General features: G+C 50.9%; 1 protein-coding gene across 11 annotated transcripts in view, besides 1 other annotated feature; it reads left to right on the top strand.

Annotated features, from left to right (window-relative positions):
• NT5M (5',3'-nucleotidase, mitochondrial) overlaps positions 1-13,973 on the top strand; it is a 44,291-nt gene that overhangs the window by 10,530 nt on the left and 19,788 nt on the right. For 10 of the 11 annotated variants that reach the window (XM_047436421.1, XM_047436419.1, NM_001438936.1 and 7 more), the window contains one exon: positions 9,283-9,343. In XM_047436421.1, coding sequence (XP_047292377.1) covers positions 9,283-9,343 — 61 coding nt within the window. Of the gene's footprint in view, positions 1-9,282; positions 9,344-12,284; positions 13,359-13,973 lie in introns of those variants that run through there. The other variant, XM_011523962.3, reaches the window with a different exon arrangement.
• Positions 12,565-13,065: an enhancer, noted in NCBI's record as "H3K4me1 hESC enhancer chr17:17229781-17230281 (GRCh37/hg19 assembly coordinates)". NCBI's record gives its function as "activates a minimal SCP1, AML or CMV promoter by ChIP-STARR-seq in primed H9 embryonic stem cells {active_cell/tissue: H9 hESC(primed)}" and the evidence as "EXISTENCE:reporter gene assay evidence [ECO:0000049][PMID:30033119]".

The following is a 13,973-nucleotide window of genomic DNA, read 5'->3' on the forward strand; positions in this document are numbered from 1 at the left end:
ACGTCCTGCCCTGTTCCAGCAGCTCTGCGCGTGAGATAGGGCTTCCCTGGGCAGAGCCTCAGGTTCTGAGGAGCTTGGTTTGGAATATCTTCAGGGGTGACCATTCTTTTTATTGTTCGGGAATATATGAATATATTCTTTTTTTTTTTGAGATGGAGTCTTGCTCTGTCGTCCAGGCTGGAGTGCAGTGGTGCGATCTCGGCTCACTACAACCTCCGCCTCCCGGGTTCAAGTGATTCTCCTGCCTCAGCCTCTGGAGTACCTGGGATTACGGGCGCCCGCCACCACGCCCGGCTAATTTTTTGTATTTTTAGTAAAGACGGGGTTTCACCACGTTGGTCAGGCTGGTGTTTAACTCCTGACCTCAGGTGGTCCACCCACCTCGGCTTCCCAAAGTGCTAGGATTACAGGCGTGAGCCATCGTGCCCGGCCGAATATATTCTTATAAAAGACTCCAATAGCATGAGCGTGTGTGAAAATGTGTCAGTTGACCTCTCTCCCTGCATATACCCACCTTGGCCCACTCTTCTTGCTCTAGTTAAGAATTTGGTGTGTATGCTTCCAGACCTTTTGAAGTGCACCCCCCTACATATTTAAATATAGATTTACAAATTGATATGCTCCACCCAGCAGTCAGAGTGATATTTTTTAAACCAAATTCAGATGATGTTAGCCCCACTGAAAGCCCTCTGCTGGCTTCATCTTGTGGTAAAATCCCGCTGTCCCTTGGCCAGGCTGGGAAGGCTGTCTGCCATCTGACCCTGCCTTCCTTTCCAACCTCTGTCTTCCTCTGCTCCTGTCACGCTGGCTTCTTTCCTGCCCCTTGGATGTGCCACACGTGTTTCTGGTCTTAGGACCTTTGTTCTTGTTGCATCTTCCTGGAATGTTTCTGCCCTAGTTCTTTACACAGCTAGATTGTTTTTCTCTTTCAAACTGAGAACCGTGCATGTTGCCTCCTCACAGAGGCCTTCCCTGACCACTGCAGCTGAGGTCTCTGCCCTCCCCTCCTGGTCGTTCTGTCCCATGACCCTGAGTGTGTACTCTAAGCTGAAATTGCATGTCTGTGTCTGTCCCTTCCTCTTTTGAGTGTCAGCTCCCTGAGGTCAGGGATTGTCTTGGTTCTGGCTCTATTCTTAGTTCCCAGAATGATGCCTGGCACATCACACACTCAAAATATTTGCCAAATGAATAACTTCATGTGCATAATCCCACAGTAATTGTTGATTTAAAAAAAAATTTTTTTTTAACAATTTTGGAGGAAACCACTCATTTAGAAGGATAAGAACTTAAACCTGATTTTAACATGGTGCTCACTGTCGTGAAGCCTAGAGTAAGAGGCAGTTTATTCATGGGTTCATTAAACAGATACATTTTACGACTTAATATGCACCCAGTACTGTGCTAGCACTGGGGATATATATGTAAATAACACACCTAAGGTCTCCAGTTTCAGGGCAGGTCTCACAGCAGGGAAGATGACAACATATAAACTAAAATGATTTCCAACTGTGATAAGCTTAGTGAAGGAACTAAACAAGGGGCTGTGCTGCAGAGGAAACAGGGAAGGGGCTGCTTTGGGTAGAATGGGAAGCTGGCTCTAGGGAGCTGAGAATTGACATCAGACCTGAAGAGTAAGAATGAATGGGCCAGTGAAGAGTCGGGACAGGCCTTGCAGGCCAGGAGAGGAGCAGGTGCCAATGCCTGAGCCGGGCCAGGCCTTTGTTTGTCTGAGTAACATAAAGGAACTGGACAGCTGGCACTGGAACTTAGGAAGCATGTTGGGGGTGGCAGGGGTGGGTGGAGGGTGAAGTTGAAGAGAGATTGATGTGATCTAACTTAGGGTTTTTTTGTTTTTTTTTTTTTTTTTTTTTTGAGACAGCCTCGCTCCATCACCCAGGCTAGAGTGCAGCGGTGTGATCCCAGCTCACTGCAAGCTCCGCCTCCCGGGTTCATGCTGTTCTGCCTCAGCCTCCCAAGTAGCTGGGACTACAGGCATCTGCCACCACGCCCGGCTAATTTTTTTTTGTATTTTTTAGTAGAGATGGCGTTTCACTGTGTTAGCCAGAATGGTCTCGATCTCCTGACCTTGTGATCAGCCCGCCTTGGCCTCCCAAAGTGCTGGGATTACAGGCATGAGCCACCATGCCCGGCCTTTTTTTTTTTTTTAAATGAGACAGAATCTCACTCTGTCCCCCAGGCTGTAGTGTAGTGGTGCCATCTTGGCTCCCTACTACAACCTGTATCTCCCGGGTAAAAGCAATTATCCTGTTTCAGCCTCCCAAGTAGCTGGGACTACAGGTGTTCGCCAACATGCCTGGCTAATTTCTGTGTTTTTAGTGAAGACAGGTTTTCACCATGTTGGCCAGGCTGGTCTTAACCTCTTAACCGCTTGACTTCCTGACACCTTGGCCTCCCAAAGTGCTGGAATTACATGCGTGAGCCACCGTGCCCAGCTGTAACTTAGGTTTTTATTTATTTATTTATTTATTCGAGACAGAGTTTCACTCTTGTCATCCAGGCTGGAGTGCAATGGCATGATCTTGGCTCGCTGCAACCTTTGCCTCCCGGGTTCAAGTGATTCTCCTGCCTCAGCCTCCTGAGTAGCTGGGATTACAGGCGCCCGCCACCACACCTGGCTAATTTTTGTATTTTTATTAGAGATGGGGTTTCACCATGTTGGCCAGGCTGGTCTGGAACTCCTAACCTTGGGTGATCAGCTCTCCTCGGCCTCCCGAAGTGCTGGGATTACAGAAGTGAGCCACCGTGCCCAGCCATAACTTAGGGTTTTGTTTTTTGTTTTGTTTTGTTTTGTTTTGTTTTTGTTTTTTTTTGAGATGGAGTCTCGCTCTGTTGCCCAGGCTGGAATGCAGTGGCGCAATCTCAGCTCACTGCAACCTCTGCCTCCCGGGTTAAGCGATTCTCCTGCCTCAGCCTCCAGAGTAGCTGGGACTATAGGCACATGCTACCACGCCTGGCTAATTTTTTGTATTTTTAGTAGAGACAGCATTTCACCCTGTTAGCCTGGATGGTCTCGATCTCCTGACCTCATGATCCACCCGCCTCGGCCTCCCAAAGTGCTGGGATTACAGGCATGAGCCACCGTGCCTGGCCATAACTTAGGTTTTTTGTTTTTTGTTTTTGTTTTTGTTTTTGTTTTTTTTTTTTGAGACAGAGTCTCGCTCTGTCGCCCAGGCTGGAGTGCTGTGGCATGATCTCGGCTCACTGCAAGCTCTGCCTCCTGGGTTCATGCCATTCTCCTGCCTCAGCCTCCCGAGTAGCTGAGACTACAGGTGCCTGCCACCATGCCCCGCTAATTTTTTGTATTTTTAGTAGAGACAGGGTTTCACCGTATTAGCCAGGTTAGTCTCGATCTCCTGACCTGGTGATCTGCCCACCTCGGCCTCCCAAAGTGCTGGGATTACAGGCGTGAGCCACTGCTCCCGGCCAATTTAGGTTTTTAAAATGTGGATTTGGGGCAATGAATTTGGATAGACATTTTTCCAATGAAGATATACAGATGGCCAGTAACTACCTGAAAACATCATCAGTCATTAGGGAAATGCAAGTCAAAACCACAAGGAGGAGCTGGGTGAGTGGCGCTCACCTGTGCTCCCAGCTACTCAGAAGGCTGAGAAGGGCAACAGAAGGCCGGAAGGCCAGCCTGGGCAACATAGAGTGAGACAGTCTCTAAAAAAACCACAATTCACATTGTGGGTGTGAATATAAAACAGTGCAGCCAGTGTGGAAAAACACCTTGAAAAACATTTCCTCCAAATGTTAGGCCGGGCATGGTGGCTCACGCCTGTTATCCCAGCACTTTGGAAGGCCATGGAGGGCGAATCACCTGAGGTCAAGAGTTTGAGACCAGCCTGGCCAACATGATGAAATCCTGTCTACTAAAAATACAAAAATTAGCTAGGCATGGTGGCAGGCACCTGTAATCCCAGCTCTTGGGAGACTGAGGCAGGAGAATCGCTTGAACCCAGGAGGTGGAGGTTGCAGTGAGCTGAGATCATGCCACTGGACTCCAGCCTAGGTGACAGAGTGAGACTCCATGATCAAAAAAAAAAAAAAAAAAAAAGTTAGACATAGACTCACTGTATGAGCCAGCAATTCAACTCATAGGTGTATATCCACGGAATTGAAAACAGGTATTCAAACAAATACTAGTACCCGAATGTCCCAGCAACACTATTCACAGCAACCCCAAGTATCCACTAAGTGATGGATGGATATTTAAAATGTGACGTAGCCACACAATGGAATATGTTTCAGCTATAAAAAGGAATGACTGCCGGGCATGGTGGCTCATGCCTGTAATCCCAGCACTTTGGGAGGCTGAGGGGGACAGATTGCCTGAGCTCAGGAGTTTGAAACCAGCCAGTGCCACACGGCGAAACCCCGTCTCTACTAAAAATACAAAAAGAATTAGCCAGGCTTGGTGGCAGGCACCTGTAATCCCAGCTACTTGGGAGGCTGACCCAGGAGAATCACTTGAACTGGGGAAACGGGAGGTTGCAGTGAGTCTAGATCGTGCCACTGAACTCCAGCCTGGGTAACAAAGCGAGACTCTGTCTCAAAAAAAAAAAAAAAAAAAAAAAGTCTGGGCGCAGTGGCTCAAGTGTGTAATCCCAGCACTTTGGGAGGCTGAGGCGGGCGGATCATCTGAGGTCCGGAGTTTGAGACCAGCCTTACCAACATGGAGAAACTCTGTCTCTACTAAAAATACAAAATTAGCTGGACGTGGTGGCACATACCTGTAATCCCAGCTCCTCGGAAGGCTGAGGCAGGAGAATCCCTTGAACCTGGGGAGCGGAGGTTGCAGTGAGCCGAGATCACGCCATTGCACTCCAGCCTGGGCAACAAGAGCAGAACTCCGTCTCAAAAAAAAAAAAAAAAAAAAAAAAGGAATGACCTACCCATTCATGTGGCAACATGAATGAACCTTGAAAACATGATACTGAGTGAAAGAAGCCAGACACAGAAGGCCACGTATTGTAGGATTCTATTTATGTGAAATATTATGGGGCGGGCGTGGTGGCTCACCCCTGTAATCCCAGTGCTTTGGGAGGCCGAGGCACGTGGATCACCAGAGGTCAGGAGTTCGAGACCAGCCTGGGCAACATGGTGAAACCCCACCTCTACTAAAAATACAAAAATTAGCTGAGCGTGTTGGTGGGTGCCTGTAATCCCAGCTGCTTGCGGGGAGGCTGAGGTAGAAGAATTGCTTGAACCTGTGAGGCAGAGGTTGCAGTGAGCTGAGATTGAGCTACTGCACTCCAGCCTGGGCAAGAGTGAGACCTCGTCTTAGAAAAAAAAAAAAAAAAGTTTCTGAACAAGAGGCAAATCCTTAGAGCTAGGCAGCCCCTGGTTCCCCGGGCTGTGGGGAGGGGCTGTGGGAATGACTGCTTAATGGGAATGGGGCTTCTTTTTGGGGTGATGGAAGTGTCTTTAAATTCGATTGTGGTGATGGCTGTAAAACCCTGTAAATATACTAACATTTATTTAATTATACACTTAAAATAGGTGAATATTAGGATATATGAATTCTATCTCAGTAAAACTTTTAAGAAATGTTTACTCAAACATTTAAAAATTTAGGACAAACTATTGATACATTTATTTAACAATTAGGACACACTGTTGATACATTTATTTAACACTATGGGCGAATATCAGAATAGTTTTGCTGGATGAAAGAAGCCAGGCAAAACAGAGTATAGACTATACTTTCTTTTATGTAACATTCTAGAAAATACTATCCAATCTGTACTGATGGAAAGTAGATGGGTGGTTGCCTAGGGCCCCAGGGGCAGGGAGGGACGGGAGGGACAGCTGGGAGAGATAACAAAGGAGAACCTTTGAGGGTGGCAGGCGTGTTTATTTCTTGATTGTGGTGATCTGGGTTTCCCATGTGTGTCTTTTACTTTTTTTAAATATTTCTTTCTTTCTTTATTTTGAGACGGAGTCTCGCTCTGTCGTCAGGCTGGAGTGCAGTGGTGTGATCTCGGCTCACTGCAACCTCCGCCTTTTGGATTCAAGTGATTCTTCTGCCTCAGCCTCCCGAGTAGCTGGGACTACAGGTGCTCATCACCACGTCCGGCTATTTTTCTATTTTTAGTATAGACAGGGTTTCACCATGTTGACCAGGCTGGTCTTGAACTCCTGACCTCAGGTGATCTGCTTGCCTTGGCCACTGAAAGTGCTGGGATTACAGGCGTGAGCCACCACGCCCAGCCTCCCACGTATGTCTTTATGTTCAAATTTATTGAATTGTACCCTTTTAATATGTGCAGTTTATTGCATGTTGATTATTATATTATTTATACCTCTGTAAAGCTGTTTAAAAAGAGTGGGTCTGGATGCTGGGTGGAAATGGCTTGGAGGGGTGAGAACTGGAAGTTGAAGAGTCAGTGGAGGTGGTTGCAGCCGCTCAGTGGGAGACGACTCAGTTTGACTAGGGTGAGGTCTGTGGAGAGAGGTGGGTGGATGACGTGTGCTTTGGCGGGACCCATAAGACCTGGGGATGGATCTGATATTGGGGGTGGAATAAAGGTAGGAAAAATAGGTGATTTTTAGGTGTTTTGCTTGAGCAGAGCTCTGTCTTTATCATCTCTGTTTATCTAAAATAGACTAGGAACTGAGGGAAGACTCGGGGAGAGACACGCTTTAGGAGTAGGGGATCACGTTTCCCACGTTGGAAATCCTGTGTGAGGTGTGTGAGGCGTCCAGGTGGGTGGAAACTTGGTGCTGGGAGAGGTTGGGACGCATCAGCATGCACATGGTGTTTAAAGCAGGAGTGCAGGCTGAGAGCCCCCGAGGGCCTAGACCCAACCTGGAGCGGTCAGGAGAGGAGTAGACGGGGAGTCTGGGCTGGGTGGCTGGCGAGGATCAGGAGGCCAGGAGCGCAGGCTAGGACCCAGGATAGGGGAGCCCAGGAGAGCTGGCGTGGCCAGCTGGGCTGAGTACCTGTGGGTGAGGATGGTGAGATGGGCATTGGACAGAGGGACACTAGGGTCTTTGGTGACAAGGAGCAATTTCTGTGGAGTGAAGGGGCAGGCCCAGTCTAGAGTGGATTGAAGCAGGAGCAGGAGGCGAGGGAGTGGGGTCGGTAGGTGGAGGCAGCTTGTCGGGGACATTCTGCTTCGAAGGGAGCAGCTGGAATGTGGGGGTCAAGGCTGTGTGTGTATATATCTAAGGCGGGAGGTGCCAGCACACGTTTGAATGAGGAGTCATGGAGGAGGATAGCAAGCGGGCATTCGGGAGGTGCCAGCACGTGTTTGAATGAGGAGTCATGGAGAAGGATAGCAAGCGGGCATTCGGGAGGTGCCAGCATGCGTTTGAATGAGGTTCATGGAGGAGGATAGCAAGTGGGCATTTGGGAGGTTCCAGCACACGTTTGAATAAGGATTGTGGAGAAGGATAGCAAGCGGGTATTGCAGGGCATAGTGTCTGTGAAGGGCAGAGGGGGAGGATCCAGGGCACAGGTGGAGCCCAGGAGAAGGGAGTGGTGTGGCTTCCTCCTGTGCAGCAGGAAGGGAGGAAGAAGTGAGCCCGGCGGCAGGTGAGTCTCCAGATCCATGATGAGGTGGGCTTGGAGTCTCACCCACAAGAAGGTTGAGGAAATGGGGCGGGTGTGTCCTGGCTGTGCCCAGAGCACCAGAGAGGGCATTGAAGAGAGCTGCCAGGCAGCTGCAGGCCCTGGCTTGGTGTCAGGAATTGAAGGTGAAACAAGTCCAACTGATGATGTGAATTTTCTTCTCCGGCAACATTTAGTTGCTTGGGTGCAGGTGGGAGCAGTGGGATAGCTGGGCTCCTTCAGGGCCTGGCCAGACAGGCCTGGGTGGAGGATGAGAAGCACAAGCAGAGGATGGCAGCGAAGGCTGGGCCCCAGCTGGATGAAGGCAGGCCGCTAAGCTGGGACAAGGAGGGTGTCTCCACGAGGCTGAAGAGTTGAGTACAGAATGAGATAATGCATTTGCTGAAGCGTCGTGGGTGGTGGCCAGGGAGGCAAAGCCTGAGACGAGGTTTTGGGGGGAAGTGATTCCAAGCTCCGGGGGTGACACTAGGAGAGGTATTGGAGGTTGGGTGTTTGGAGGTGGAGAGGAAGTTGTTTGGAGGTGGGGAGGGTTAGGAACTGAGCGACAAGGTGTTGGATCTGTACCTATGCACACACATATATGTGGACATGTGTGTGTCAAGTCACTGAGGATGGTGATAGAGCAGGAATGGAGAGGATGGCGAGCCAGCGAGTGAGGTGCATAAGGGACAGTAACTGGCAATGGTAGGTGACAGTGAGTAGGAAGGGCTCTAGGGGTGTGCTGTCGAGTGTGGGCATTGGCATCAGGGATCTGGAAGGAGCAGTGGAGAAGGCAGACGCTGCCCTCACCTGCCATCTCTGAAGTCTGTGGGGGATGAGGAAGAGGCAGCTGTCACTCAGAGGCGAGTTGGGGAGGTGCTCCCTTCGTGTGAGGCCAGTTTTGGTTGGGGCAGGAGTGAGGATGCTGGGGAGAGGCTGAGTCTTTAGGAGAGGGGATTGCGTGGTTGGTGGAGGTAGTGCCAAGTATCAGGTAATGAGAGGGCACACCCTGTGCCCAGGGACCCGGGAGTCTCACCTCTGCCTGTTGAGGGACGCGTTTGCCAGAGAGAAAGCGTCAGCAAAGTGCCATCTTCCAGAGGCTCAGCAAGACGTGCAGGAGGCACAGGCTCCAGTAGCGAACGCCAGCCTCATGAGGGTGTTTGGGACCAGGTGGCTCCATTAGTGAGGGCTGGGGCCCTGTGGGCATGAGGGCGCAGGCACCTGGGAGGCCATTTGGGTCAGCTCTCCCGCGGAGCTACGACCTTGGGGATGTGGCGCTCCTCACGCGGAGCCAAGCCAAGCCAAGGCCAAGCCTGTGTTTCAGGGACTCGATCACTGCAGGGCTTAGCCTGGCATGGAGTAGGCTCCTTCTCTGTGTTCTCCAGGCCAGGGGACTTGCATGCCAGAATCCTTCTTCCTCATAGATTTCTTGACTTACCACTCTGCATTGCAGGAGGCCCTCCAGTCAGATGTCCAGCCCAGAGCTGGCTGCCTGTGGCTGGGTAGGGTCATGTGGCTGCCCAGGGCCATGGGATAGGCCGACACCTCTGGTGTGGATATAGTACAGGGGAGTGGGTCTCCCACAGCAGGGGAAGGGTTCAGACTCAGAGGGTCCAGCCCTGTGAAGGCAGGGCAGGTGGTGAAGGCCTCGGGGTGGTGAAGTCATGGGGCTGCAGGCTCAACCTCCTTTCTCTTGTTGACAGCACTGACGTCTTCATCTGCACAAGCCCCATCAAGATGTTCAAGTACTGTCCCTATGAGAAGGTAAGGCGTGCGTCTGCTCAGCTGAGCCCTTACCCCATGCATCACAGGTGAGGGGTACGGGGCTCAGCCTGCCTGTGGAAAGGGGATGGACCCTCACAGCACTCCCCCACCTCTGTGACAGCGGCTTTCTGCTCCCCAAGGACCTCTCCAGCCTGAGGCTCTAGATGGGGCCTCTTATGATGCAGGTTCTCCAGGAAGGGTGCCTGTCACTGTGTCAGGTTAGCCTGGCCCAGAGTAGGCCTTTGAAGGGTGAGAACCATGCCTGGGGAGGGCCTGAAGGCACGTGGATGCATTAACATGAAAAGTCTTAAAAAGGTGAGGTGGGTAAAGTTCATTTTGCTGTATACTCACTTTATTATCTTTATTGAAAAGAATTAGAGTTGCATGAAATTGAGACCTTTCTGGAAATTGGGAACTTGCAGTTGCCAAACCCAGAGGAAAGGTCTGTGGCCCTGGAGGAGAGCACTCATGCCGGAGGGGTCAGGGCCGGCCCTCCCTGGGGACGTTGGAGCAGCTCTTCCCGAGCTGAGGAAGGCAAGATCTTCAGTCCAGAGCCCCTCCTGCTCTGGGGGCGTCAAACCTTCAGGCATGAGTTCTTTCATGTTCTTCACATGACCTTTCCGCTCTGGATTCCCATTTTTTTTGAGACAGAGTTTTGCTCTTGTTGTTGCACAGGCTGGAGTGCAATGGCACGATCCTGGCTCACTGCCAAGATCACTGGGTTCAAGCAATTCTCCTGTCTCAGCCTCCTGAGTAGCTGGGATTACAAGTGCCTACCACCACATCCAGGTAATTTTTTTTGTATTTTTAGTAGAGACGGGGTTTTGCCATGTTGGCCAGGCTGGTCTCGAACTCCTGAGCTCAGGTGATGTGCCTGCCTCGGCCTCCCAACGTGCTGGGATTATAGGCGTGAGCCACCGTGCCTGGCCTGGATTCCATATTTAAATGAAATTCATGGTCAGGCGCGGTGGCTCACGCCTGTAATCCCAGAACTCTGGGAGGCCGATGCAGGTGGGTCACCTGAGGCTGGGAGTTCAAGACCAGCCTGGCCATCATGGTGAAACCCCATCTCTATTAAAAATACGAAAATCAGCTGGGTGTAGTGGTTCATGCCTGTAGTCCCAGCTACTTGGGAGGCTGAGGCATGAGAATTGCTTGAACCTGGGAGGTGGAGGTTGCAGTGAGCCAAGATCGTGCCACTGCACTCCAGCCTGGGTGACAGAGCGAGACTGTCCCCCCACAAAAAAACTTAATTTAAAAAAAAAAAAAGAAATTCACACATTCAGCCAACATAGCGTGCCCTCTGTGTGCTCAGTGGGAATCACACTTGCTGAACAGTTGCTCTGGCATTATGTGGGTGCTTGGTGCCCACTGTTTCATCATGTCCTCATGACACCTTGTTCCCTAGTTACCCTGACATCCCTCATGATTTTAGAGAGTGGGTCTTGTTCTGTCACCCAGGCTGGAGTGCAGTGGCCACTCACAGGTGCCATCCCAGCTCACTGCAGCCTCGAACTCCTGGGCTCAAGTGATCCTCCCACCTCAGCCTCTTGAGTAGCTGGGAACACAGCTGCGCACCACGCACCACCATGGCCGGCCTTCGCTGACCCCCTTTTAACACGCTAGGAGCACGAGTTCACTTATACTTAGGAGAGAGGAGTATCTTACCTGCAGCCAGTAAATGTGGATTCAGAGTGTGGGCCAGGCCCACTGTTTCAGGTCGAGCAGTGATCCCAAAGTGAGTCCTGAGACCAGAGTCAGCATCCCTTGGAGACTCCTTAGGAGTGGACATTTTTCAGCCCCACCCTACACCTTCTGAATCAGACACTCTGGGAGTAGCAATGTGGGTCTGACGAGCCCGCCAGGTGATTCTCATACACCCTCAAGTTTAAGGATTGCGGGACTGGAGTCACTATTTCAGCTGGAGTTTCACTGGGTGGCCATGGTGGTTGACCAGCAGTTGTGGGAGTGAGATGAACGACATGGCCTCATTCATCCGTTCCTGGGGATTTAGATACTGTCTTTGTGCCAGCTGTCCCACCTGCGTTGCCTCGGCCCGGGACTGCCCTCTGAGCTCCAGACACTCAGACCCGATGTATCTGTCCCTGGGGTGCTGGTTTCCTTGTGCATGGCAGTGCTGTCTGGTGGCCTCAGGTCGGAAATCAGGGGCCGTGCTGATGTCTTCCTCTAAGCCCTCACTTCCAGCCTGTTGGTGAGTCCCATGTCCCATGGGACCGATTTCGAAAACGTGCCTGGCACCTGTCTGCTTCTGTCTCTTCTCATTGCCAGCATCTTGGCATTTACTGCCAGTACAGCTGACAGGGCCTCCTAAACTGCCTGCTCCTTTCAGTTCCATGCAGGCTGACAAGGCCCTCACAGAGCAGATCATGGCAGCTCCTGACTTGAAACCTCTGAATAGTTTCCCTTTAAAAACCACATACACCCTCCTGAGCATGACCTGCAGGGCCTGCCTGCCTCTCCACCCACTGTGCCCCCCTCTCTGTGTGCTTCTCCAGCAGCTTTTGGCTTGGAATGTTCTCCTCCCACCCCTAGGTCTGGTGCCTTCTTGTCCACGAGGCCTCGGCCCAGAAGTCTCCCCACATTTCGTGACCATCATATTGAAGTGTATTCTTTCTCCATCTTGTTTTTTGGATGACACTTCCCACCACTTGAAATGGGTTTGTGTTTTCGTCTGTGGCTTGTTCTTGGTCCATCTCCTGACTGGGCTGGGACCTGTGCAGGCTGGGCTCTCACCCTCCTGCCCACTGTCAAGCCCAGCACCCAGCGCAGGGTGGCACACTGGGAGGACTCAGCGTTTGTTGTTAAATGAGTAGATTCATTTGTCCAACAGAGAGTTATTAAACACCGGCGAGTACAGTGCTTGCCATTCATTTGACACCTTTGATACGCCAGGCAATGTCCCTTTATTCTCACTTTTGAGGTTTACAACAGCTGCCTGTGAAACAAGAAAACTCTTCTGATTTGACAGATGAAGAAACTGAGGCTCAGAGGGATGAGGCAGCTCATTTACCAGGTCTGACGCTTGGCCAGCCAGTGAGGCCTGCTCCGGGTCTGCCTGTCAAGAGCCTGTGCCCACCGCCAGTGTGTTCCCCTGGAGGTAGCCTGCATTCACTGGAGAGGATTTGGAAACCGCGCATATTTAAGAGGAAAGGGATGTCAGGACCCCAGTCACAGTAACATCAACAGGCTCTGGCTCACTTGAACAAAGGCAGGACTGATTAGAAGGATATTGCCTTGCTCAGGGAATCAAAGGGAAGCCCGAGGAAGCAGGCCTGAGGCCGTAGGGGCAGAGCCCGCAGACCGTCTCTCCAGCAAACAGCCCAAGACGCTGAAGCGCCCTTTCTCCATCCTTGGGTTTCATTGCCCAAGATTCCTAGTCCCCAGGAGAGGGAGGCCCATCAGCTGAGCTTGGGTCCCACACCCAGCCCTGGGTGCCCTGATGGACTGTCCTAAAAGGCTGCAGTTGGTGGCAGAGGCGTGGCTTCCCAGAGGAGTTGAGATGCTGTTGCCAGAAGAAGGGTCACACTCATAGTGGATGTCCTGATCAAACTAAACGAAAGAGCAAAGGCAACAAGAATCCACATCTACAATCCCACCACCTGGAGAGAGATGCTGTTAGCACTTTGATCTGGTTCTTTCTAGTTTTTTTGTGGGGGAGTAGGGGAGACAGGGTCTCACTATGTCACCCAGGCTGGAGTGCAGTGGTGCGATCTCGGCTTACTGCAACATCCGCCTCCCAAGTTCAAGTGATTCTCCTGCCTCAGCCTCCTTAGTAGTTGGGATTACAGGTGTGCGCCACCACACCCGGCTAATTTTTTTTTGTATTTTTAGTAGAAACAGGGTTTCATCATGTTGGCCAGGCTGGTCTCTAGCTCCTGACCTCGTGATCCACCCATCTTGTCCTCCCAGAGTGCTAGGATTACAGGTGAGCCACCACACCCAGCCCTCGTTTTTCTTTGATGCGTATTAAATATAATACATGTATTTTAACAAAGCTTTCATCCAACATAGTTATCCTTTTCTGCTTATTAATATATTTTTAGCCTTTTTTCTGTCATCAAACACTTCAGAAACATGATTTTTTTTTTTTTTTGTGAGACAGGGTCCAGCTCTGTGGCCCAGACTGAAGTGCAGTGACACGATCTTGGCTCACTGCAACCTCTGCCTCCTGAGTTTAAGTGATTCTCATGCCTCAGCCTCCCAAGCAGCTGGGACAAGTGTGTGTCACCATGCCTGGCTAATTTTTTATATTTTTGTTCTGTTTTGTTTGAGACAGAGTCCTGCTCTGTCACCCAAGCTGGAGTGCAGTGGTGCAATCTCAGCTCACTTCAACCTCCACCTCCTGGGTTCAAGTGATTATCCTGCCCCAGCCTCCTAAGTAGCTGGGATTACAGGTGCGTGCCACCATGACCAGCTAATTTTTGTATTTTTAGTAGAGACGGGGTTTCGCTATGTTGGTCAGGCTGGTCTCAAACTCCTGACCTTGTGATCCACCTGCCTCGGTCTCCCAAATGCTGGGATTACAGGCGTGAGCCACCACGCCCGGCCAATTTTTTTGTATTTTTAATAGAGATGGGGTTTCACCATGTTGGCCAGGCTGGTCTCAAAC

The sequence above is a fragment of the Homo sapiens genome, chromosome 17, assembly GCF_000001405.40.
Source record: "Homo sapiens chromosome 17, GRCh38.p14 Primary Assembly".
Taxonomy (NCBI): Eukaryota; Metazoa; Chordata; class Mammalia; order Primates; family Hominidae; genus Homo; species Homo sapiens.